This window comes from Homo sapiens, chromosome 20 (genome assembly GCF_000001405.40).
Source record: "Homo sapiens chromosome 20, GRCh38.p14 Primary Assembly".
NCBI lineage: Eukaryota > Metazoa > Chordata > Mammalia > Primates > Hominidae > Homo > Homo sapiens.
Genome location: NC_000020.11, coordinates 31,376,877 through 31,401,221, shown reverse-complemented (window position 1 = coordinate 31,401,221; position 24,345 = coordinate 31,376,877). Strand labels below are relative to the sequence as shown.

At 43.1% G+C, this 24,345-nt stretch overlaps 1 protein-coding gene across 7 annotated transcripts; it reads left to right on the top strand.

Annotated features, from left to right (window-relative positions):
• The first annotated feature begins 10,572 nt into the window (after window positions 1-10,572).
• DEFB119 (defensin beta 119) lies at window positions 10,573-24,059 on the top strand. Of its 7 annotated transcripts, none has more exons than NR_073152.1 (4): window positions 10,573-10,799; window positions 12,863-12,899; window positions 22,831-22,835; window positions 23,871-24,059. NR_073152.1 is itself a non-coding variant. In NM_153289.4 (2 exons), exons 1-2 carry the CDS (start codon window positions 10,739-10,741, stop codon window positions 23,974-23,976), a joined length of 255 nt encoding a protein of 84 aa, NP_695021.2. In that variant the 5' UTR covers window positions 10,632-10,738; the 3' UTR covers window positions 23,977-24,058. The 7 variants fall into 7 exon arrangements, 3 of the variants coding, with proteins under 3 accessions (NP_695021.2, NP_001258138.1, NP_697018.1); NR_073151.2 differs by having other exon boundaries at window positions 10,632-10,799; window positions 22,831-22,870; window positions 23,783-24,058; NR_073153.1 differs by lacking the exon at window positions 12,863-12,899 and having other exon boundaries at window positions 22,831-22,870; window positions 23,783-24,059.
• Window positions 24,060-24,345: the final 286 nt, after the last annotated feature.

Sequence of the window (24,345 nt, the reverse complement as noted above, 5' to 3'; positions counted from 1 at the left end):
GTCCCATCCTCCAGGCCTTAATTTAAATGTCATTCTTGACTATTATATCTAATGAAGTCCTTTATATCACTAGGCAAATGTATGTCCTAGCACTTCTCAAAAATCAGTAATTATTTTGTTCATTTACTTGTTTCTTGTCTCTCTTCCAGGAGAATTTGGGTTTTATGATCGCAGGGACCCTGTTGGTTTTGCTCACCATTCCATGGTGCCTGGCACACTATCAGAACACAATAAGTATTTGCTACCTATATGAATAGTTAAACTCCAAGGATGGTCACTTTCCCACTCAAACAGGTTTTCCTTTTCAAGTTCTTGTGTTTTACCATTGCCTGAAACTCAAGCCTTCTTTTTCCACCCATGTTTTACTCTCCATGATTTAGGAAAACTCCTCTTTCCTTGATGTGGATGTTCTGAGAAGTGGCACAGCATGAGTTTAAGGGACCTTACAGAAGGGGGAAGTCTAAGATATTCAAGCGCTTCTTTCTGAGGTTCTGATGAACATTAGATTCAAGAAGAAAGGACTCAATCTGAGCATTCAGGGGTTTGAGTACATTATAGAACACATCTAGCAATGGGAAGTGGGTGGGAAGGGAGGGGTAGAAAATACTGTTTGTGCCCAAACTGGAGTTATCTAAATTCTGGTTACATTTACATGAAGCCTTTGTTCTATATTTTGAGTCCACAAAGATCTGTCTGTGTACAGGCAGTCATTCAAGAATCTGAAGGCAGGCCGGATGCTGTGGCTCACACCTGTAATCCCTGCACTTTGGGAGGCTGAGGCAGGTGGATCACTTAAGGTCAGGAGTTTGAGACCAGCCTGGCCAACATGGTGAAATCCCGTCTCTAGTAAAAATACAAAAAAATAGCCGGGTGTGGTGGTGGCCACTCGTAGTCCTAGCTACTCAGGAGGCTGAGGCAGGAGAATCATGTGAACCCAGGAGGCGGAGGTTGCAGTGAGCTGAGGTCACGCCACTGCACTCTAGCCCGGAAAACAGAGCGAGACTCCATCTCAAAAAAAAAAAAAAAAAAAAAAAAGAAAGAAAGAAAGAAAAAAAAATAATCTGATGGCAGCTCTATGCTGTCTTGAGACTGACTTTGTATGTTCATTTCTTGACTTCTCACATCAAGTCAGCCATCGAAGCCCCTTGATTCTTCCTCTGTGATGTTTTGGTGCAAACCTTACTCTCCTTACTCTTTTTGGGACTGCTATCTCAGCTCAGTCCCTCATTAGCAGTCTCCCTCCTCTTTCCCATATTGAGGCCTTCCACCCTGAGTTTTGCTGCTGTCCCTCTAATCTCTCTGCCAGGTCAGATTGTCCCACGTTCTGACACCCAATCTCACAAGAGTTCCTTACTGAATATAGCAACATTCCCTCAACATATTTGAAGATGAAACACCTTACATTTATTATTGGATGTAATGTAAGAGTTCATTAGAGAGCAATTTAAGCAAACAGGATAATTTCTTGGAAGGATAACATGTAGCTCATAAAATTGACCAGAAGTCTGGACAATCAGGCTTGGAAAGACTGAGACGGAGTGGGCAGCAGAAATAGCCTGCCAAGATCTTACCATGAGCATTGCTGCCAGAGCACTGTGCATCAGTATCACACCTGGACTCTTGCCATTGCTGCTGCCACTGTGTATTTCCTCCACCTTCCTTGTGGTTTGGCTTTAGCCCTTTAAGATTCAAGTCCCTTGTTGGAGCACCCAGTTGGCTGAGCCTGGGTCATGCACCTGTCTGCTAACTCCCAAGGTGGCAAAAGAGAATCTTTGCCTTTAAGATATTCTGTAGTTGAAGGTCAGCCTTCCTTTCCACCAAGACCACAAAAATAGAGACTAGCTTCCCTAATGGAAAGGAGCTCAGATACTGAGTGTCCAAAGATGCAGTAAATGACAACTGTCAGAGAATGTTACCCCAAATATTACAGCAGAATATTTTCCACCCCACCTTCGCTTTTCTGATAGCCAGGGCCAAGACTAGGGTGAGGAGCAGGAGGTGTCTAGGGTGTGACACATAAAGAGGCACTCACTCTCAGGCTCATGCAAATGCCTCCTTAAATGTCACCCTTTAAGTACCTGTTGCACTTCTCACTTCACCCTGGATCCAGCCCTGCCAATTGCATCCTGCACGTCACCTTTGCAGCACCCACTGCACCTGTACTTAACCTTTGCTTACTGTTCATCTTCATGATAGACTGTAATCTCCATGAAGACACAGACCATGACTGATTTGTTTTCTGTACCTGGAACAGAATCTGGCATAAATTGCATATTCAACCAATATTAGTTGAGCAATTGATGGTCTAAATGAGATATATAACTAGCTTAAAATAGACAGCAGAAATGGCCTCACAAGAAAATTCCTTCTTTCAGGTTTATTCACATTAGAAGAGTGTTTGATATTCAATGAGCACAGAATGATACTAAAATATATATTAAAAATATAAGATGAGACACTTAACAGAAATATGTGGTGGTCACGTCCATCACTGTGATAGTCACCAGTCAATGTTTTCATTATCAATGAGTAGACTGAGAGTTGTGTGAGGCTTGGTAGCTCATGTCTGTAATCCCAGCATTTTGGGAGGCCGAGGTGGGCAGATAACTTGAGGTCAAGAGTCTGAGACCAGACTGGCCAACATGGTGAAATACTGTCTCTATTTAAAAAATACAAATATTAGGCCAGGCACGGTGGCTCACACCTGTAATCCCAGCACTTTGGGAGGCTGAGGCGGGTGGATCACGAGGTCAGGAGTTCAAGACCAGCCTGACTGGTGAAACCCTGTCTCTACTAAAAATACAAAAATTAGCCGAGTATGGTGGCGCACACCTGTAATCCCAGCTACTCAGGAGGCTGAGGCAGGAGAATCGCTTGAACCTGGGAGGCGGAGGTTGCAGTGAGCCAAGATCGTGCCACTGCACTCCAGCCTGGGCGACAGAGTGAGACTTCATCTTAAAACAAAAACAAAAACAAAAAACAAAAATTAATCAGGAGTGGTGATGTGTGCTTGTAGTCCCAGCTACTTGAGAGGCTAAGGCAGGAGAATTGCTTGAACTCAGGAGGCGGAGGTTGCAGTGAGCCAAGATCATGCCACTGCACTCCAGCCTGGGTGACAGAACGAGACTTCATCTCAATAAATAAATAAATAAATAAATAAATAAATAAATAAATAAGGTTGTGCTTTCATAAATTAGGCAACATTTTCCTTCACTGTCTGGTATTCTCATTTAAAAGCAAGAACTTGGCTGGGCATGGTGGCTCATGCCTGTAATCCTAGCACTTTGGGAGGCTGAGGTGGGCAGATCACTTGAGGTCAAGAGTTCGAGACCGGCCTGGCAAACATGGTGAAACCCCGTCTCTACTAAAAATACAAAAAAATTAGCCAGGCGTGGTGGCAGGAGCCTGTAATCCCCGCTACTTGGGACGCTGAAGCAGGAGAATCGCTTGAACACAGGAGGCGGAGGTTTCAGCGAGCAGAGATCACACCACTGCACTCCAGCCTGGGCAACAGAGTGAGACTGCATCTCAAAAAACAACAAAAAAAAGCAAGGATACATGGTAAGTTGCTCAGTCTTGTGTATTAATCAGATCAACTATATACACATATTTAATGCTTTTTTAAATAAACTTTTTGGCAGGGTGATGTATCAAGAATTTAGTGTAGCAATTACCTCAAAATTTTTCCTCATTTTGTTTGAACAGATATCAGCAGAAAGAATGAAAAGATATTTTTCTGTCCTGTTTTTGGAAAGGAAGTCAGGATTTTGTGTTCTAAATCCTGGCCTTCCTTTTCTACTGGGGAATTGAAACCGTGTGTGTGTGTGTGTGTGTGTGTGCACGCGCGTGCGCGTGCATAGGTCAGGGGTTGCCCTGAAGACAACCCTTACAATTTTTTATTTGGGAGGAGTAGGCACAAAGAGGGCAATTAATTTGTATGGTTTCCAAACACCGCATGTTCTCACTCGTAAGTGGGAGTTGAACAATGGGAACACATGGATACAGGGAGGGGAACATCACACACCTGGGCTTGTTGGGGAGTGGGGGGCAAGGGGAGGGAGAGTATTAGGACAAATACCTAATGCATGGGGGCTTAAAACCTAGATGACAGGTTAATGGGTGCAGGAAACCACCATGGCACATGTATAACTATGTAACAAACCTGCACGTTCTGCACATGTATCCCAGAACTTAAAGTAAAATAAAATTTAAAAAAGTATAAAACTTTTGGAAGAAAAAAATTGTATCGTTTCAGAAGTGAGATGAGGAATTTTAGCTTCGAGGGCAAGAGAGAGGAGTGTCATGGCATCTAAGGGTGTTGAATTTCCTCAGAACTGGGAGAGGAGATGGGGGTTTGGCTCCAAGGGAGTTTGATGAAGCACCCCAAGGTAGCAGGTGCTGGACGGGGTTGCCTGCATGGAAGGCAGTCACTGTGGAGACAGCCACTGTGACCATAGCCCTGGGAGGGGCAGCAAAGGTCTTGATGGCTGAGCTCGTGGTTGGTGGAGGTAGACATGATGAAGAGCAATTTTCCAGCTGCCCAGAACTACCCAATGGGCCAGACATGGTGGCTCATGCCTGTAATTCCAGCACTTTGGGAGGCTGAGGAGGGCGGATCACATGAGGTCAGGAGTTCGAGACCAGCCTGGCCAACATGGTGAAACCCCATTTCTACTAAAAATACAAAATATTAGCTGGGTGTGGTGGTGTGTGCCTGTAATCTCAGCTACTCGGGAGGCTGAGGCAGGAGAATTGCTTGAACCTGGGAGGCGAAGGTTGCAGTGAGCCGAGATCATGCCATTGCACTCCAGCTTGGGCAACGAGAGTGAAATTCTGTCTCAAAAAAAAAAAACAAGAAAAAACAAAACAACAACAACAACACCACACACGCACACACACTCACACACACACACACACACACACACACCTCAATGAACAGCCAATGGAGTCCATCAGCAATATCCCAACCATGAAGAGCAAGGAAATAAAGGTCATCATCATTGAATAAGGACCAGATCCTTCCCCATTTCCCAGAACCATGGGGTCCTAGTGGGATCAAGTGGAGGATGGCATGAAATCCCAATAATAACTGACATTGGACATCTCACTAATTTGGCAAGTAGTGTCTTGGAGCTGCACTTAAAACAAATAAGTAATTACAGCATTTCCTGAGGCTTGAGTGTGGGGGGCATTCATAGCTGGTATGTGACTGTTAATATTTTAATAAATTGTAGGATAAATATTCTCACTAGCATTTATTTTTTTCCATGGAACAGTGCTTGAAATGGGACACAGTTGGGGATATGCTGGTGTAGAGGATTTCTCTGGAATCCAGCCACTCTAAAATAGCTGCATCACAATTTTATGCAAACTTGGTCCTCATATTATCTTTCTCTGAACCACCTACCCTTGCCTGGACACTTTTCCTACGTCACTGGGAAAGGAAGGAGATGGTGTAAATGCATGGAGGTGAAAGATGTCCATAAAAGGCTGTGACTTTATGACTCTTATTTCTTTCATCTTTTTGTCATATTATTAAACTAATAGGTTAGTGAGAGGAGTAAATGAGATAAGGTAAAAATACCTGGCCTGTGTGAACTCCTTCCTGGGAACTTGATAACTAGTATGAATGGTTCCCTACTCTCCCTGCTGTGGAATTTAGGCTGCAGGGAATGGGTGGCTTTTCAAGGACTTACAAATGCAACTGCACAGATTCGAGGGAGTGGGTGGTGTCCAGTCTTCAGAACTGGCCAGGCCAGGCTGTACCCATGTGGGAGGCATTACAAAGGCTGAAGCTACAGTCTGTTCTAGTCTTGGTGGGCCCCAGAAGATATCAGGCAGCAATTATGGGCCAAGTTGGCTCTCTGACTAAGACTCCCCTCATCCCGTATCTCCTGGCCTCTTTTCCCTTAGTGGCCTCTGCTTCTTGGCCACGATGCTCCCCATACTTCCCTTAGCCTTGGCCCAGATCTCCTAGCTGAATAGAAGAATCATCAAGCAACTGTCATGTTCCAGAGTCACAGGATGTAGAGACCTGAGAGGAACAAAGGGACTGAGCTCACTGGAGCTCAGGCTACGGCATTTGGAGATCTGAGAACAGATGCACATGTACACAGGTACTAAACAACACTGAAACACATGTTCTACATGTCTACATGCAAACTAATGTAAGAATCAATGCATGTACACATACACATTCAAATACTCACGCAAAATACATATAAACCATATAAACACATAAAATATACATAAAATATATAAAATTTGAGCACATAAACACTTGCACAAATCTACACATGTATACATAAGTACACACAAACAAAATACAACACAAATATAAACCCAGATATTGAAATATAAACGTTCTATTGCAATTAAATCATCTTTTTCAATTTCTCCTTATGTTGGTCAAGGCCATTTTTCTGAGTCATCACAGTACTCCCTGGGCAGTCCTTTGCAAACAGGGATTCCTAAGAGGGCTTATGAAATATTGAAAAGAGCTATAGTGAGGAAATGCCTGGAACCTCCAGGTTGGGAACTTCTGGTCTAGTACAATAATAACACCACATATTTATATTGAAGTCAAGTATCAGGTATTGTTCGAAGTGCCTTATGTGTAATCACTCATTTAATCCTAACATCAACCCTATGAAATATTATTACCCCCATTTTATAGAAGAGGAAACTGAGATTCAAAGAGGTTAACTAACTTTTTTTTGTTTTGAGACAGAGTCTCACACTTTTGCTTAGGCTGTAGTGCAGTGGTGTGATCTTGGCTCACTACAACTCTGCCTCCAGAATTCAAGCGATTCTCCTGCCTCAGCTTCCTGAATAGCCAGGATTACAGGCATGTCCCACCACACCTGGATAATTTTTGTATTTTTTAGTAGAGATTGGGTTTCACCATGTTGGCCAGGTTGGTCTCAAACTCCTGGCCTCAAATGATCTGCCTACCTCAGCCTTTCAAATTGCTGGGATTACAGGCGTGAGCCACCGCACCCAGCCTTAAGTAACTTTTATAAGGTAACACAGCCAGGAGACTAACTCCAGAATATAGGCTTGTAACTCCTCTGCTATGATGTCTCATTTCAATATTGAGTCCTGTAGATGTTGCATGACATGCTAAGGACACATGGTAAGTTGCTCAGTTTTGGACCAAATTGCATGCCTGGTGTGTTCATCACACTGCTGAATAGCACCCCCAAATTCCCTTATCCTGGTCAGCTCCATTACACACCAAGCAAGTCCTCATGAACAACTTTAGTAACGTTAAACACCAAGAAGTTTACAGCACTCCCAGTGGAATTCAAAATAAAACAACATTCAACTCTGAAATAAAATTTTACTTCTGTGAAATGATACAAAGCATTCCTGTCTACTGAAATTAAAGGGGGTTCTTTAGATTTTCTTGCTTTGTTTTGGCCCATGTCTTGCCAGTGCCCTGAGCCTGGGCAGGTGCTCAGTCCTCCTATTGAGCCATCCAGCCCTGATCGCAGGTCCCCCCTCACAGCTTTCTGCCCAGTGTATTTCCTCCATGCCTGACAGGGGCTTCTTGAGATCTTGCCTATTTTCTCCAAGCCCTAATCCCTGACACAACAGAGAAACTTGGCTTCGTTTTCACTGAGGCTGTAGAGGTCAAATGCGCTCAAGGCTCTAAATTCTCTCCTCCCTTACCTGGAAACAAAGAAATTGTAACTAAAATGTATCGAGCACTTACTACCTGCCAGGCACTGTTTTGAACTCTGGATAGGCACTTATCACTTAAAGGTCACAACAAACCATGAGCCCGTATTATTATCTCCAAAATTGGTTAAACAACTTGCCCATGGTCACTGCATCCGTAAGAGTGTTTAGCAAAGGGAATCTTTTGGCTGTTTGGAAGTTCAGAGAATTCCTAGAGCGAGGCTTAGAAAATGGGTAGGAACCAGGGAGGAAGGGTAGGAGGAGCCAGAGTGAAAAATCACCCCATGGACCTGGTCTAGTGAGGACACAGCTGCCACCAAACGCCATTGCTCAGGACCCTAAACTCTACCCCTATTTGCCCTGCTTCCCTATTGCCCCTGGAAACTGGACATCATAATGGACTCCTTTGTTAAGATAAATTATCTACTGTTCCTTCTTCCTGGAATCTTGAGCACCTGATTCAAAAAATAGTATGGAGTCATCTGATTGGCTGAACCTACCCACGTGTCCATATTCTAGCTGCAGGGAAGGCAGAAAAACAACAATTGAATGTTTTGCAGCCTTGAACTCCAAGACTCAATCAATCCTCCCATCTTGGCCCCCTGAGTAGCAGGGACTACAGGTGTGTACCACCACACTTGGCTAATTAAAAAATTTTTTTGTAGTGATGAGGTCACATATGTTGCCCAGGCTGGTCTGGAACTCCTGGGCTCAATCTGGTTCCCCCCTTGGCCTCCCAAAGCCCTGGAGTTACAGGGACTTGGGTTTCCTCCCCACTAGATCACTTCTCATAGCCTTACTCAATGTATAAGTTATTTATCTATAATTATTTATTAAAGTAAGCTATATTTATTTGTCTACAGATATTTATTAAATATTATTTAATATTTAATGTCAGGTATGTTAGAGATTGCTAGAACTCCACCCCCCATGTATCTCTTTCCCTTCTTAATAAGACAACCCCTATATTTTAGCTAGAAATGGTTGCCTAGAATAAGGAAAATATTTCCAGCCTCCCTTGCAGCTGCGCATGATGGTCTAAATGAGCTCTGGGAGGTGGACAGGATTGGAAGCAAAGGGTGCAACTTATTATTCTTATTTTTTGGAGGGACGGTGTCTCACCCTGTTGCCTAGGCTGGAGTGCAGTGGTACGATCTCAGCTCACTGCAACTTCCACCTCCTGGGTTCAAGCCATTCTCCTGCCTCAGGCTCCTGAGTAGCTGGGATTACGGTGCTCACCACCACGTCTGGCTAATTTTTTTTTTTTTTTTTGTATTTTTAGTAGAGACGAGGTTTCATCAGTTTGGCCAGGCTGGTCTTGAACTCCTACCTCAAATGATCCACCGACCTTGGCCTCCCAATGTGCTGGGATCACAGGTGTGAGCCACTGTGCCAAGCCGAGGGGTGAAACTTCTGAGTGGTGTCCTTAAAGGGAAAGGTGTTGCATTTCACTTCCATCACTCCTCCTTTCCTGATGGCTGGATGGGAACTTGACGGTGGGAACTGGAGCAGCTCAGGGTCATCACATGATGCAGCCTCTTGAGGATGGCAGAGCATCAAGCCAAAAGGAACCTAGATCCCTGCTGAATGGTGAAGCTGTCACACTTAACTGCATACCCAGACTTTTACATAAAAAAGAAATCCATGTCTGTCTTTTGGAATCATTCTTATTTGGGGGGAATATCAGTTAAAACAGTTGAATAAGTATCTTAATACACCAGGTGATGTTATGGGTACTGGGGTTATAAGCCAGGTTTCTGACATTCTAAGTGGAGAGACAAAAATCAAACATGTAAAATAAAATTTAAAAGAATAGATACATATATGAAGATCATAAACCAAGTTATTACAGTCCAGAGTGACTGTGGGTTGGAGTTACCGTTATCTAAGGTGGCCAGGGAAAGTCTCTCCAAGGAGGTGACATTTGGGATGATATGGAATGATGAGCAGGAGATTTTCATGGGAAGATTTGGAGAAAGAGCTTTACAGGGAGAACAGATGACAACTGCTAAGGCCCTGAACTGGAAACAAGATTGGCAAGTTCAAAGTTCTGAAAGACATTACACATGTGTATCCTTCTGTTAGAAAGCTGAGACACATGTGTATCCTTCTGTTAGAAAGCTGAGAATAAGTAATTCTCGTTTAATTTATTTTTTAAAATTTTTTTATTTTTATTTTCGAGATGGAGTTTTGCTCTGTCACCTAGGCTGGAGTGCAATAGCGTGATCTCAGCTCACTGCAACCTCTGCCTCCCAGGTTCAAGCAATTCTCCTGCCTCAACCTCCCTAGTAGCTGGGATTACAGGCACCTGGCTAATTTTTGTATTTTTAGTAGAGACGGGGTTTCACCATGTTGGCCAGGCTGGTCTCGAACTCCTGACCTTGTGATCTCCCTGTCTTCGCCTCCCAAAGTGCTGGGATTACAGGTGTGAGCCACCACACCTGGCCTGTTTAATTTAGTTTTTAAGATTTAAATATCTTTTAAACATTTATAGGAAAAAATATATTTTAAAACAGAACATAATCATGGAGAACAATATTGTCACCAAACATGACAAGACAGTTAATATAATAACAGCACTGAAGAGCTCTTGCAAATCAGCAAGTACCCAACAACACCCCAATAGAATTGTCCAGATATCTGACTAAATAATTCAAAAGGAAGAAACAAAGAGACAAATACATGTGTTGAATAAATGTTCTTACTATTTATCAGAGAAGTGCAAAGTAATTTTTAAGTTAAATATTTCTTGATATGTATTTATTATGCATTAATTAATTCCTTTGTGGGTCTCACAGGCCAAATGGCTTTAATTGACCTGTCCCTTTACTGGCATTGGTACTGGCCAGTTTCCCACACTCTCATCTTGTGCTTTGCTGAGACATCTGCTACACACTGTCCTTTGGCCTGGATGACCTCATATAAATCCCCTCCTGTTCTAATTCACTGCCCACAGCCCTGCTGATAAAAGCAAAGCTCATCTCTGCCGTGCTGCAGGGAACCCTATTTCCTTCCCCTGCAGCTCAGCCACCTCCTCCTCTCAGGTCTGCCAGCCATGAAACTTCTTTACCTGTTTCTTGCCATCCTTCTGGCCATAGAAGAACCAGTGATATCAGGTAACGTGAACCTCTCTCGGGGGTCTGGGTTCCTGGTCATGGGCTTCCCGTCTTTCCCTTCCCTCTCACTGTGGGCATCATCTGAAGCCTTTCCTTCTCTCCTGCAGCTTCGGGAGGTTTGCCCAGGATCATCTCAAGTTAATATCTCTCTCTGATTCTTTTTTGCCAGAGTGGTGGGATGATAGATGTTTGGAGCATCTGGTGCTTGAGGGCCAGGGTGGTATCCTGGTGGGAGCTTGGGAGAGGTTTGAGGGGCAAAGCGTGGGTGCAGGTTGGGGACTTGTTGAGGACTTCGGGAGACTAGAGTGGAAGCTGGGGTGAGTTGTGATGTGGAGGAAAAACCTTGGGATTGGAGTGATAGAAGGAATATTAGGATGAGCTGGAGGTGAGGAGCTGGGCTTCCCTGATGGTTTAGGGCAGAGTTGGAGACAGGATGGGATTTGGGGTTGAGTGGAGCTGGTGTTGAGGATTAGGCTGGGGCTTGGGCTGAGGCTGGGAGTCGGTGCTGGATGCTGCAGGGTGATTGGGTTCAGCTTGGTCATGGCATACTGCTGGGAATTGAGGTTAGTGACTTGATTAGATTAGGGTTAGATTAGATTAGATTAGGGTTTGGCTTGGAGTTGGGGCTTGGGGGCATTGAGTTGAGTAAGGCTGGGAGTTCTAATTAAGGCAGGCCTGAATGAGTTTGAGTTTGAATTGGGTTAATATAGGGTCAAGGAAGATTGCAGATTGGGATGCGGCTGGAGCTGAGGCTTGTTGGGCTTATGTGAAATAGGGTCAGGTTATTGATAAGAAACAGGGTCTGTGTAATGTGAGTGAATCCTCTTCGTTCCCTAATATTACAGGTGATCATGTCCTTTTCCCTTCATCCCTAGCTCTGCTAGGTGGGACATTAATTAGCTTCAGTTGATTCCAAAGTAAGGAGTAGGAAGTTGGGGGCTAGGAAGACAGAAGGGTGAGAAGTCCAAAAAAGGCTCTCCCAAAAACTTCGGAGCTCTCAGTTGGAACCATTGTCTCAGTTCTCTTCCCTCTCAAGGTCTCTTCTCTCTTTTCCTGGGACTGGGTCTGGCATTACTCACTCAGCTGGCTTTCTTCTCTTCTTCCCTGTCCTCCTGTTCCTCCTCTGCCTTGTCTTTTCTCTCCGCTTGAGGGATACTAACATCTGCTTAATTGTTGTTCATATGCCCCAAAGTAGAGTGTTGGATGGATGGACACTGCCGGTTGTTGTGCAAAGATGGTGAAGACAGCATCATACGCTGCCGAAATCGTAAACGGTGCTGTGTTCCTAGTCGTTATTTAACAATCCAACCAGTAACAATTCATGGAATCCTTGGCTGGACCACTCCTCAGATGTCCACAACAGCTCCAAAAATGAAGACAAATATAACTAATAGATAGAAATGACTTTGTTTCAGGTTGCTTAGGGTCCACATTTCATTAAAACTCACAAATTTGTTTCTGGTGTCTGTCAATCATAAGGAATGATACTTCAAATGGATTGAGGGTGGGGGGATGGCAGGGGGAGGTGAAGAGCTAGTCGAGAGAAGTCACTAGGGCTGGGTCATAGCGATGGTGTGATCATTACAGTCTTGAAGATGATTCCCCATCTACCAGCTGCAGGAGAGGCTATTGAGTCAGGAGTGGACTGGGGAGAACATGGTGGGAGCTGAGAGATTTAAAGGCATAGCAGATGCCTAAAGAGTGGGAGAATCCTTAGGCTGGGAGAGTTGGTCCATCTTGAGAGTGAATGGGCTGAGAGTGGATGGGGCTGAATATAACCCAAATCCTTGGGGTTCTAGAGAAACCAGCTGATGCTTTCTAGTGCTCAAGAGGCCCAGCCCCAGGGGTTAGAAGGTGTCTGAGTACTAAAAAAAGATAAAGCACATGATTTGCTTATTTATATATGAATTTGTTCATTATTCATTTTTTCCATTCTTTCACCGATTCATTCATTCATATTCACTTCAGCTCTGCCACTTACTACTGGCAGACTCTGCATATAAACCTCTCAGAACTTCATCTTCCTCCTCTGTAAATTAGAGTAATTGTAGAATCTATTTCAGGATTGCAGTAAGGATGAAATGACATAATAATGCAAAGGTAAGCACTCAACAAATGTCGTCACCTATTGTTCATTGATTTATTCAAGGATTTATGAAATATGAACTGTGTGCCTTCCAACTGTGTTAGAGTCTGAGGGAGACAGAAGCCTGTCTCATTTGAATTGGTACTTTAGCTGGGGAGAAGACTCACTCATGGGGAACATTTAAGAATCCTGTTTGGGAATCTAGAGAATCTGGGTGTCTTCCCAGACTTTATTCTCAAGTCCTATTCTCTGGGCCCCATTTAACCAACACAGTTAGTTTTTCACCCTGAACTGCGTCCTCTGCAGTGAGGCCAGGGACCAAGAGTGCTCGGTAAAGCATGGTTCATGGCATAGAGACAGACAGAAGGAGTTCATTATCATCCAGGAAGACTATTTGCTCTCAGCTCAATATTTCTGCCCTTAGACTCTGGAAAGAGGGGCCCCTCCTCTGGCTAAGTCCCTCCTCATGGGGTGAGGAGTTGCTAGGAGCAAGGGGAATATGCCCACGAGGAGCCTCTGCCTGCCCTCCTCCCTTTCTGGGTCATGCTTTGAGTAGCTGGGTCCTGGGATTGCCTGCCCAGAGAAACCTTGTGCCTGCTTCAAGGAGCTGCAGGGGCCTTTCCTCAAGGTCCCTCCCTGGAGGGTGGGGCCCACTGGGTGCCGACCCCTAGGCAGGAGAAGCATCAAGGGATGCTCTTGTTTGCAGGGTCTGTGGGCAGAGCTAGGGATGGGTGAGAAGAGAGGTGAGCTGTGGGCTGGGCAGGCTTCCCTCGGAATGCCATGTTCCTGCATGGAGTTCTGAGGAATCAGAGAATTATAAATTCAAACCTGACCTTTCAGGTCATTATGAAGGGCTATCTCGTAAATGAGGATAGATATATTTTATGTATTCTTTTTATTAGCTTGATTAAAACATTTAAGTATGCAGACAAAGGACATGACACAGTAGCCTTCATTTGCCTTCTTGCCTCAGGACCTGCAAATGTTAGGGTTGTGCCTGGTATTGGATCCTGCTCTGGCTGATAACCCATTTCTTTTAAAGAATTATTTTAAATTCACAAATAATAATTGCACATATTTATGGTGTACAGTGTGATAGTTCAATAAACGTATAGAAAGTGTAACCATCAAATCAGGGTAATTAGCATATCCATCACCTCAAACATTTATCATTTCTTTGTATTTAGAACATGCAAAGTCCTCTTTCTAGCTAACTGAAAATACACAATAGGCTGGGTGCGGTGGCTCACCCCCGTAATCCCAGCACTTTGGGAGGCCGAGGCAGGTGGATCACCACGAGGTCAGTAGTTTGAGACCAGCCTGATCAACATGGTGAAACCCTGTCTCTACTAAATATAAAAATTGAACCAGGCATGGTGGCTGTAATCCCAGCTACTTGGGAGGCTGAGGCAGGAGAATGGCGTGAACCCGGGAGGCGGAGCTTGCAGTGAGCCGAGATCCCGCCACTGCACTCCAGCCTGGGCGACAGAGCGAGACTCCGTCTCAAAAAAAAAAAAAAAAAAAAAGAAAAAGAAAAAGAAAAAGAAAATACGCAATAAATGATTGTTAACTATAGTCACCCTACAGAGCTATGGAACACTAGAACTTATTCCTCCTATCTAGCTGTGATTTTGTATCCGTTTAACCAGCCTCTTCCTATTCTCCCTTCCCACTTACCCTTCCCAGTCTCTGATAAACTCTATTTTACTCTCTACTTCAATGAAATCCACATTTTTAAGCTTCCACATATGAGTGAGAACAAGTAATATTTATCTTTCTGTATCTGGTTTATTTCACTTAACATCATGCTCATCTATGTTGCCACAAATGACAGAACTTCATGCTTTTTTTGTGGCCGAATAGTATTCCATTGTGTTTATGCAAACTTTCTTTATCCGTTCATCTGTTGATGCATACTTAGGTTCACAATCTATTTTTCAGCCCACTTCAGAGGCAGGAGCTGCATAATCTTTTCACAGTTTTGCTGCTTCTCTGGGAGCTGGGACACTTAGGCTGCCCATGAGAGCTACCTGTGCCCCGAGGCCCGGGGTGAGAACACCAAAAATGGTTCCTCACTGGTCTCCCTGCCCCCAGGTTTTCTCTGCATTAATCTCTATTATTAGAGGGATTCTTGGTAGGAAACTTCTCTATGTCATTCTCCTGCTTAGATTTCTTCCTTTGCTCATCACCACCCGGGGTCCAGACATTCAAAGCCCTCACGTGGTGACCCGGTTTCACCTCCCATGACTGTCCCTCACAGACCTTCTCTTCAGCCACTGCAACCCTCTCGCCATCCTCTCCTGCCCCCTACATTGCGTTTGTTCATGGCTCCCTCCAGCTGGTCCCCAACACTCAGCTCACCTCTGTGATGAACGCCTTCTCATCCTTCATAGCTCAGTTGATGCTCCCACCCATGAAAGTCTTCACATAAACTCTGTCTCACTATCTGTCTCTCTTTTTTTTTTTTGAGACACGGTCTTGCTTGGTTGCCTAGGATGGAGTGCAGTAGTGCGATCATGGCTCACTGTAGCCTAACCCTCCCAGGCTCAAGCAATCCTCCCACCTCAGCCTCCTGAGTAGCTGGGACTACACGTGTGCGCTACCATGCCTGGCTAATTTTTCTATTTGTGTTTTTAGAGGCAGGGTCTTACTATGTTGCCCAGTCTGCTCTCAAACTCCTGGGCTCCAGTGATCCACCTGCCTCAGCATCCCAAAGTGCTGGGATTACAGTCATGAGCCACCACACCCAGCCCTGTGTCATTATTTCTTAACAATTATAATAGCTATAATAATAGTTCTCATTGACCCTTGCTATGTGTCATTCCATTCTTACAACAATCCTCTTATTATCTCTATCTTACTTATTAGGAAACTGAAGTCCAGAGAGGTGACATAATTAGCCCAAGTCACACAGTATTAAGATAGAGCAGGGAATCAAACTGTGTTTTTTTTTTTTTTTTTTGTCTTTTGTTATTTGTCTTGTTTCTTTGATACAAAGTAGGTACTAAACTGTCACTGAGTAATGGCAGACATTGGATTATCACTTGATATGGGCATTCTATGAGAAAGGAACAATTCTCAGGGAATCCTAAAATGAGGCCTGAGTAGAGATCTGGAGTAGAAAAAGGATTTTTCAGTTGAGAAAACAGTGAGGCTTGAGGTGATATCATTCCTTGCCTCTTTTAGACTTTCTTCACTCTCCATCTAGCAGAATAATAGTCTTGTCTAGCAGTTTGTTAATTTGTATTCCTGGGGTCTAAGGCAGAAATGTTTGTTAATTGTATTGTGGATTCACATTCATTCTGATTAAGGTGAGAGCAGTAGCTTATTTTTTTCAGTTTTCTTTTCTTTTATTTTTGAAGTTTACAATAACATTGTCTAAATTCAGTTGGGATGGTGTCTTCTGGTGTCTATATTTTACAAAAATAGAAGGCAGAGAGAATTGACTCAGGTTAGGTTGAAAACAAAAAGAAAAGAATGATAATGATCATTACTGTTCTTACCACTCACATGAAGTGACATGGAAACAGTGGAAAAACTGTTTCTGAACATTAGAAAAAATTTTTAAAAATTTGTGTTAAAAGTCTACATTTCACGTATTTAGGGAGGATAATGTCAGAATGGAGGGATCTCAGCTGATCCTAATTAGCACACTTGCAGACTAGAGGACACTTTTTCCAAATTCCAATTTTCAAATTGCAGATATCTGCTTAAACTTAATGTTTTATACTGTGGTTGTGACTCACCTCTCATCCACTATGATTTGATTTCCCATACCATATCTATTATTCCTTCACTTTGATTCTCAGATCTTCATATAAGAACTCTTTTCTTTCTTCTTATAGTTTACTTTTTTGTTTTCGGTGAATTTTTTTTATCTTAAAAGTTGTTTTATTTTTATTTTTTGTGATAAATAGTAGGTGTATATATTTACGGGGCACATGAAATAGTTTGATACAGGAATTTAGTGTATACTGATCACATCAGGGTAAATGGGATATCCATTACCTCAAGCACTTATCTCTTCTTTGTATTACATAAAATCCAATTATACTCTTTTAGTTATTTTAAAATGTACGATAAATTATTGTGAACTGCAGTCATCCTGTTATGCTATCAAATACCAGATCTTATTCATTCTATGGAATTATATTTTTAAACCCTTGTAATTTACTCTTAAGAAGCTCCTGTTGGTGATCAAGTCTCTCAGTGGGTTTACTTTTGAAAATATCTAAATGTATCCTTATCTATTGTATTAGTCCATTTTCATACTGCTATGAAGAAATACCCAAGACTGGGTAATTTATGAAGAAAAAGAGGTTTAATGATTCACAGTTTCCCATGGCTGGGAGGTCTCACAGTCATGGCAGAAGGCAGAGAAGCAAAGGCACATTTTACATGATGGCAGGCAAAAGAGTGTGTGCGGGAGAACTGCCCTTTATAAAACCATCAGATCTTGTTGGACTTTATTTATTTATTTATTTATTTATTTTTGAGACAGAGTCTTGCTCTGTCGCCCAGGCTGCAGTGCAGTGGTGGGATCTCGGCTCACTGCAAGCTCCGCCTCCCGGGTTCACGCCACTCTCCTGTCTCAGCCTCCCTAGTAGCTGGGACTACAGGCGCCTGCCACCATGCCAGGCTAATCTTTGTATTTTTAGTCGAGATGGGGTTTCAGGGGTTTCACCGTGTTAGCCAGGATGGTCTCGATCTCCTGACCTCTTGATCTGCCCGCCTCGGCCTCCCAAAGTGCTAGGATTACAGGTGTGAGCCACCACACCTGGCCTTTTTTTTTTTTTTTTTTTTAAGACAGAGTCTTGTTCTGTTGCCCAGGCTGGAGTGCAGTGGCACGGTCTTGGCTCACTGTAGCCAGGCTCAAGCGATTCTCCTGCCTCAGCCTCCCAAGTAGCTGGGATTATAGATGTACACCACTATGCCTGGCTAATTTTTGTATTTTTTAGTAGAGACAAGGTTTCACCATGTTGGCCAGGCTTGTTCGAACTCCTGGCCTCAAGAGTCCCGTCCACCTCGGCCTCCCAAAGTGCTAGGATTACAGGCATGAGCCACCGCGCCTGGACAGATCTCATGAGACTTATTCACTATCCCAAGAACAGCACAGGAAAAACCTACTCCCATGATTCAATTACCTCCCACTGGGTCCCTCCCATGATATGTGGGGATTATGGGAGCTACAATTTAAGACGAGATTTGAGTGGGGCCACAGCCAAACTATATCATCAGTTAAGAAAATTTTAGCTACGTACACAGTTCTAGCTTGAACTTTTCCCTCAGCACTCAACATTTCTTTCTCTGTTTACTGGCTCTTTAAAGGCTATGGAGAATTTGATGTCCCTTTTCTAGGTTATCACTTTTTCTCCAAACTGAGTTTTGATTGGCGTCACAAACTGTCACTCTTAAGAAGTTATGACACGTATTATGTTATTGTGTAATTATTTGAATTATTGTCCCCTTTCCATCAATCCCCCAAACACACACATATTAGGTGGAAATCCTTAGGGGCTGAGATGATGTTTTATTTACATCTGCATGCCTGATGTTAAGCCCAGTGCTGGGCACGAATGCGATTTAGTGAGTGTTTCTTGAACATGAATAATGAATTCACCAGTGAAAGCATGAGTGGATCTGGTGGGGGCACAAAAGGCTGACTCCAGGTTCCAGGAATCTGGGTGGAGAAACTTCTGGGCTGGAGGGAGCAGAGGACCACTGTGTTAGGTCTACGTGGTTCTGGCTGGCAGGGTTAGCAAGGATGCAGAGGAGTTTCTGGGTCTTGCTCAAATGATAATTTAAAACAACAATAATAATTAACATTCATTTAGTTCTTACTATGTGTCAGTCCCTTATTGCCTTCTATGTATTCAGCCACTAATCCTCAAAATTCTAGGGGTTAGATATTTTTCCGGTCTATACTATACATATGAGAAAAAGGGTAGAACAGGGAGGTGCAGAAACTTGCCCCAGGATACACAGCAAGTAAAATGGGAACTGGGATTGGTCACCTAGGGATTCTTGTTTTTTAGATTTTGTTTTTTTAATCTCTCTATAGCCCCTTAGGTTATTTATTGATATTTTTACTTTTTATTTTGAAATAATTGTAGATTCACAGGAAGTTACAAGAGAGAGGTCCTGTGTACTCTTCACCCAGATTTCTCCAATGCTTAGATTTTATATAACTGTAATACAATATGAAAACCAGGAAACTGATATTGGTTCAATATATGTGTATACTTCTATGCCATTTCATCATGTGTAGATGTAACCACCATCATGACCAAGCTGCAGAACTGTTCCATCACCACGAAGATCTGCCACCTGTTGCTCCTTTAAAGTCATACCAGCCCTCTTCCCTGTCCCCACCCACTGTCACTATGCTTAACCCTTGGTAACCACTAATCTGTTTTCCCATCTCTATAGCTTTGTCACTTGACATTGCTGTGTAAATAGAATCATATGTGAGAGTTTGTGATTGGCTATTTCTTTTTTGGCTCAGCATTATGCTCTTTTTTTTTTTGAGACAGTGTCTGGCTCTGTCGCCCAGGCTGGAGTGCAGTGGTGTGATCTTAGCTCACTGTAACCTCTGCCTCCTGGGCTCAAGTGATCCTCCCACCTCAGCCTCCCCAGTAGCTGGGACTACAAATGCGTGCCACCACATGCGGCTAATTTTTTATTTTTTGTAGAGATGGGTTTTGCCATGTCACCCAGGCTGGTCTCGAACTCCTGAGCTCAAGTGATCTTCCCGCCTTGGCCTCACAAAGTGCCGGGATTACAGGCGTGAGCACTGTGCCCAGCTAAGCAGCATTATGCTCTTGAGATCCATCCACACTATGTGTATCAATAATTCGTTCCTTTTAGTTCTGAGTATTTCTAGCCATTGCATTAATGCAAGAAAAGGAAATGAAAGGCATGCAGATTAGACAGGAAGGAATAAAATGGTGTCTATTTGAAGATGTCATAATGGTTTATGTAGAAAATCCTAAGAAATCTACAAACAAAACAAAACAAAAAGCAAAGGCAAAATACCTAAAACTAATAAGTAGGTTCAGTAAGGTCCCAGGATACAAGGTAAACATACACAAATCAATTGTATTTCTATATAATAGCAATGAACATGTGCACTCTGAAGTTAAAAATATAATACCATTCAAAGTCACTCCAAGAAAATAAAACACTTAAGTGTACATCTAATGAACTATGTAGAGAAATTGTATGCTGAAAACTATAGAATATTGATAAAAGAAATAAGAGCTAAATAAATGAAGAGGCACACCATCTTCCTATCTTGTAAGACTCAAATAACAGATGTTAATTCTCCTCAAATTGACATAGGCATTTATGTCAAAATCCCAGCAAGATTTTTTGTAGATATAGACCAGATTATTCTGTCTATACCCTGCCTGAAGAGAAATCTGCAAAAGAATAAGAATAGCTAAAACAAATTTGAAAAAGGATAAAGTTGGAAGAATTATTTTACCAGATTTTAAGACTTATTATATAGTAATAGTAATTGAGATTGTGTGGTCTTGGTGGAGAAACAGGTACATCAATCAATGGAACAGAATAGGGAACTCAGAAATAGCCTCATAGAAGTACAGCCAACTGATTTTTGACAGAGGTGCAAAAGCAATTCATTGGAAGAAAGGTCCTTTTCGACACATGATGCTGGAGCAATTGAACATCTACAGGCGAAAAAAAAAAATCTAAACCTAAACCTAAACGTCACACCTTTCACAAATATTTACTTAAAATGGATCATAACCGCCAGGCGTGGTGGCTCACACCTGTAATCCCAGTGAATCAGGATGCTGAGGCGGGAGGATCACTTGAGCCCAGGAATTCCAGACCAGCCTGGGCAACATAGCAAGATCCCATCTCTACAAAAATAAAATAAATTAGCTGAGTGTGGTGACTGTGCCTCTAGTTCCCAGCTATTCGAGAGGCTAAGGTGGGAAGATCGCTTGAGTCCAGGAGTTTGAGGTTATAGTGAGCTATGATTGTGCCGCTGCACTCCAGCCCAGGCAAGATAGCAAGACCCCGTCTCTAAAGAGAATTATTTTTAAAGGAATATATATTTAAATATAAAATGTAAAACTATAAAATTTCTAGAAGAAAGCATGGGAAAAAACATTCAGACCGTGTGTTTGGTGAAGAGGTCTTAGATACAAAAGAACAACCTAGAAAAGAAGAGAATCAATAAATTGCACTTACTCAAAATTTTAAACTTTCACTCTGTGAAACACCCTGTGAAGAGGATGGTTGAAAAGACAAATTACAACAGGGCAAGATTATTTTCAAACCATATATCTGACAAAGAACTTGTATCTGGAACATAGAAACAACTCTTAAGACTCAACAGTATTTGCCGGGCATGGTGGCTCACGCCTGTAATCCCACCACTTTGGGAGGCTGAGGTGGGCAGATCACGAGGTCAGGAAATCGAGGCTATCCTGGCTAACATGGTGAAACCCCGTCTCTACTAAAAATACAAGAAATTAGCTGGGCGTGGTGGCAGGTGCCTGTAGTCCCAGCTGCTGGGGAGGCTGAGGCAGGAGAATGGTGTGAACCCGGGATGCAGAGCTTGCAGTGAGCTGAGATAGTGCCACTGCACTCCAGCCTGGATGACAGAGACAGAGACTCCATCTCACCAAAAAAAAAAAAAAAAAATTAGTTGGGTGTGGTGGCATGCACCTGTAATCCCAGCTACTCAGGAGACTGAGACAGGAGAATTGCTTGAACCTGGGAGGCAGAGGTTGCAATGAGCAGAGATCACACCACTGCACTGCAGCCTGGCGACAAAGCGAGACTTCTTCCACAAAAAAAAAAGACTCAACAGTAATAAACAACTCAATTAGAAATGGACAAAAGATATGAAAAGACATTTCACTGAAGAGGATATAGAGATAGCAAATAAGCATTTGAAAAGATGTTCAACATCATTAGCCATTAGGGAAATGCATATAAAGACTAGAATGAGATACTACTACATACTTATTAGAGCAGCTAAAATTAAAAATAGTGATTTTCCAAACTTTTTCTTAGTTTAGGCCCACTCAACCTCCATTATTTTGTCTTTTAATGCCTTCCGACAAATTAAAAAAATGTGTCCAGGCTGGGTGCAGTGGACTTTGGGAGGCTGAGGTGGGTGGATCACTTGAGGTCAGGAGTTTGAGACCAGCCTGGCCAACATGGTGAAACCCCATCTCTACTGAAAATACAAAAATTATCTGGGTGTGATGGCGTGCACCTGTAATCCTAGCTACATGGGAGGCTGAGGCATGAGAATCGCTTGAACCTGGGAGGCGGAGGTTGCAGTGAGCCAAGATTGCGCCACTGCACTCCAGCCTAAGCAACAGAGCAAGACTTGTCTAAAAAAAAAAAAAAAAGTGTCCACTTTTCATCTGCCAGGTATTTGTTCCAAATTACCTATTTTATTATTGCTAGAAGCAACAGTATACAAAAATCTTTATTTAGTCCATTGTATTTTTAAATGTTCCTGTCATTTTATTGAAAATTTCACCTATTATCAGGTTGTTCCTCTTCAATTTATAAACGATAGGGATTTTCAAAAACATTTCCTTTTGGGGAGAAGTTGTTAAATAAAGAAACACATGGTCTTAAAGAAAAAAATCCCCAACTCCTAATAGACCTGGAAACAACCAAAATGGCCCTCAGCAGACACATGGTTAAATAGACTGTACTACATTTATACTGTGGAATATTACTCAGAAGTAAAAGGAATGAACTATAGATACACACAACTTGGGTTGCTCTCAGTTCTGTTGATTGTCTTTTTTTTCATTAAAGTTAAGATTTTCCTGGTTCTCAGTATGATGAGTAATTTTTGCTGGAACGCGGATGTTTTTGATATTATTATGTTATGAGATGCTGGATCATATTTCAATGATCTTTGTTGGCTTGTCTCCTCTGATACAGCTCTGGTGAGGACAGTGGGATGCTGCCTGGATACTGCCAGGTGGGTGGAAGTCCAGGTGTATTTCCTCTGGTACTGCCTTGGTTGGGATGGGGAGGGATGTTCTGTTCCCCGTGTGGCCTCCAAGTCACATCTCAGGGAGTGGTGGCCCTGTTACTACTGTGTGGTGGTGAAAGTCTTGACTCTGCACTAGGCCCTCTCTGTCACCACCCCATCAGGGAAGTGGAGGGAGGGATGCCTTCTTCCCACCAGATAGGGGAAGTCGAGGCTTCCCACATGATTCCTATCGACACTGCATGGTGGTGATGGGCCTTGTGACCATCCAGCAGTGATAATAGTCCCCGCTCCCCACTTGGGTTCCACTCTGGGAGGTTACACCTCCTTACAGCATGGAGAGGGCAGAAGTCGAGGCTCTCCACGTAGCCTTCTTTGGTGGATGTATGAGTGGGAGTGTAGTTTTGTCTTTGGTTTTTCCTGGAGTGGAGTGGTTATTGTCTAAATTGTTCTTTCTTGCTAGGTTGACCTTTCCTGGTTCTTTGGCTAGAGAGAGGAGACTTTTCTTGGGACTCTATGTCTGCACTCGTTTGTGTTTCCAGGTTGTCAGTCTCTCCAGCACAAGTCTGGAATCGATGAGGCAAAAAGAAAACCCAGGGAATTCATGGCTGTGTCCTTCCTTAGGTCCTGAGGTCCCTGCCTTGTTCTTCTTTACTTTACCTTTCAGAGTGTACACACACACACACACATATACACACACAGACCCAGGGTTTTAAACCGAACTTGGCAGGACAAATAGAGAAAAAGACATTGACTCTTTTTTTTCTGGAAGTAGAAGTCACTATTGTCCTTTAGGTTTTCTCCCTGCTCCCCCTTTAGGTTTTTATGATGCTTCCCGACTTATCAGATTTATGTCACTCCTAGGTGAATTAACTATTTGTATTTTTTTTCCTTTGGCAGGCAAACGCCACATCCTTCGATGCATGGGTAACAGTGGAATTTGTAGGGCCTCTTGCAAAAAGAACGAACAGCCCTACCTCTATTGCAGAAATTGTCAGTCCTGCTGCCTCCAGTCCTACATGAGGATAAGCATTTCTGGCAAAGAGGAAAATACCGACTGGTCTTATGAGAAGCAGTGGCCAAGACTACCTTGAGTGCTGGTGATTACCATTCTCAAGCTCTCTGGGCACAGAGACCTGCTGTCAACCCCCCTCATTAAAATTCATGTGCCTGCTACCCTTGTCTGTCTTTGGTCCACTGGAAATCATAGTGAGAGACTGGGCTTTGCATGGTGACAATGTCTGTCTCATTCTGGGTGAGCCCCATGAGAAAGAAGGCTGGAAAACTGGGGAAACAATTACAGAGAAGCTAGACAAGCCGGTGAGGAAGGGGGAAGAATGAATCGAATGAGGGAGGGTCGAAGGCTTTAGGCAGATTTATGACTTAATCTGTGCCATGTAGAACTCAGGGAGGATCTTTAACCAGTGGGATGGATACATAGGGCAGTAGGTAGAGATCTTGTA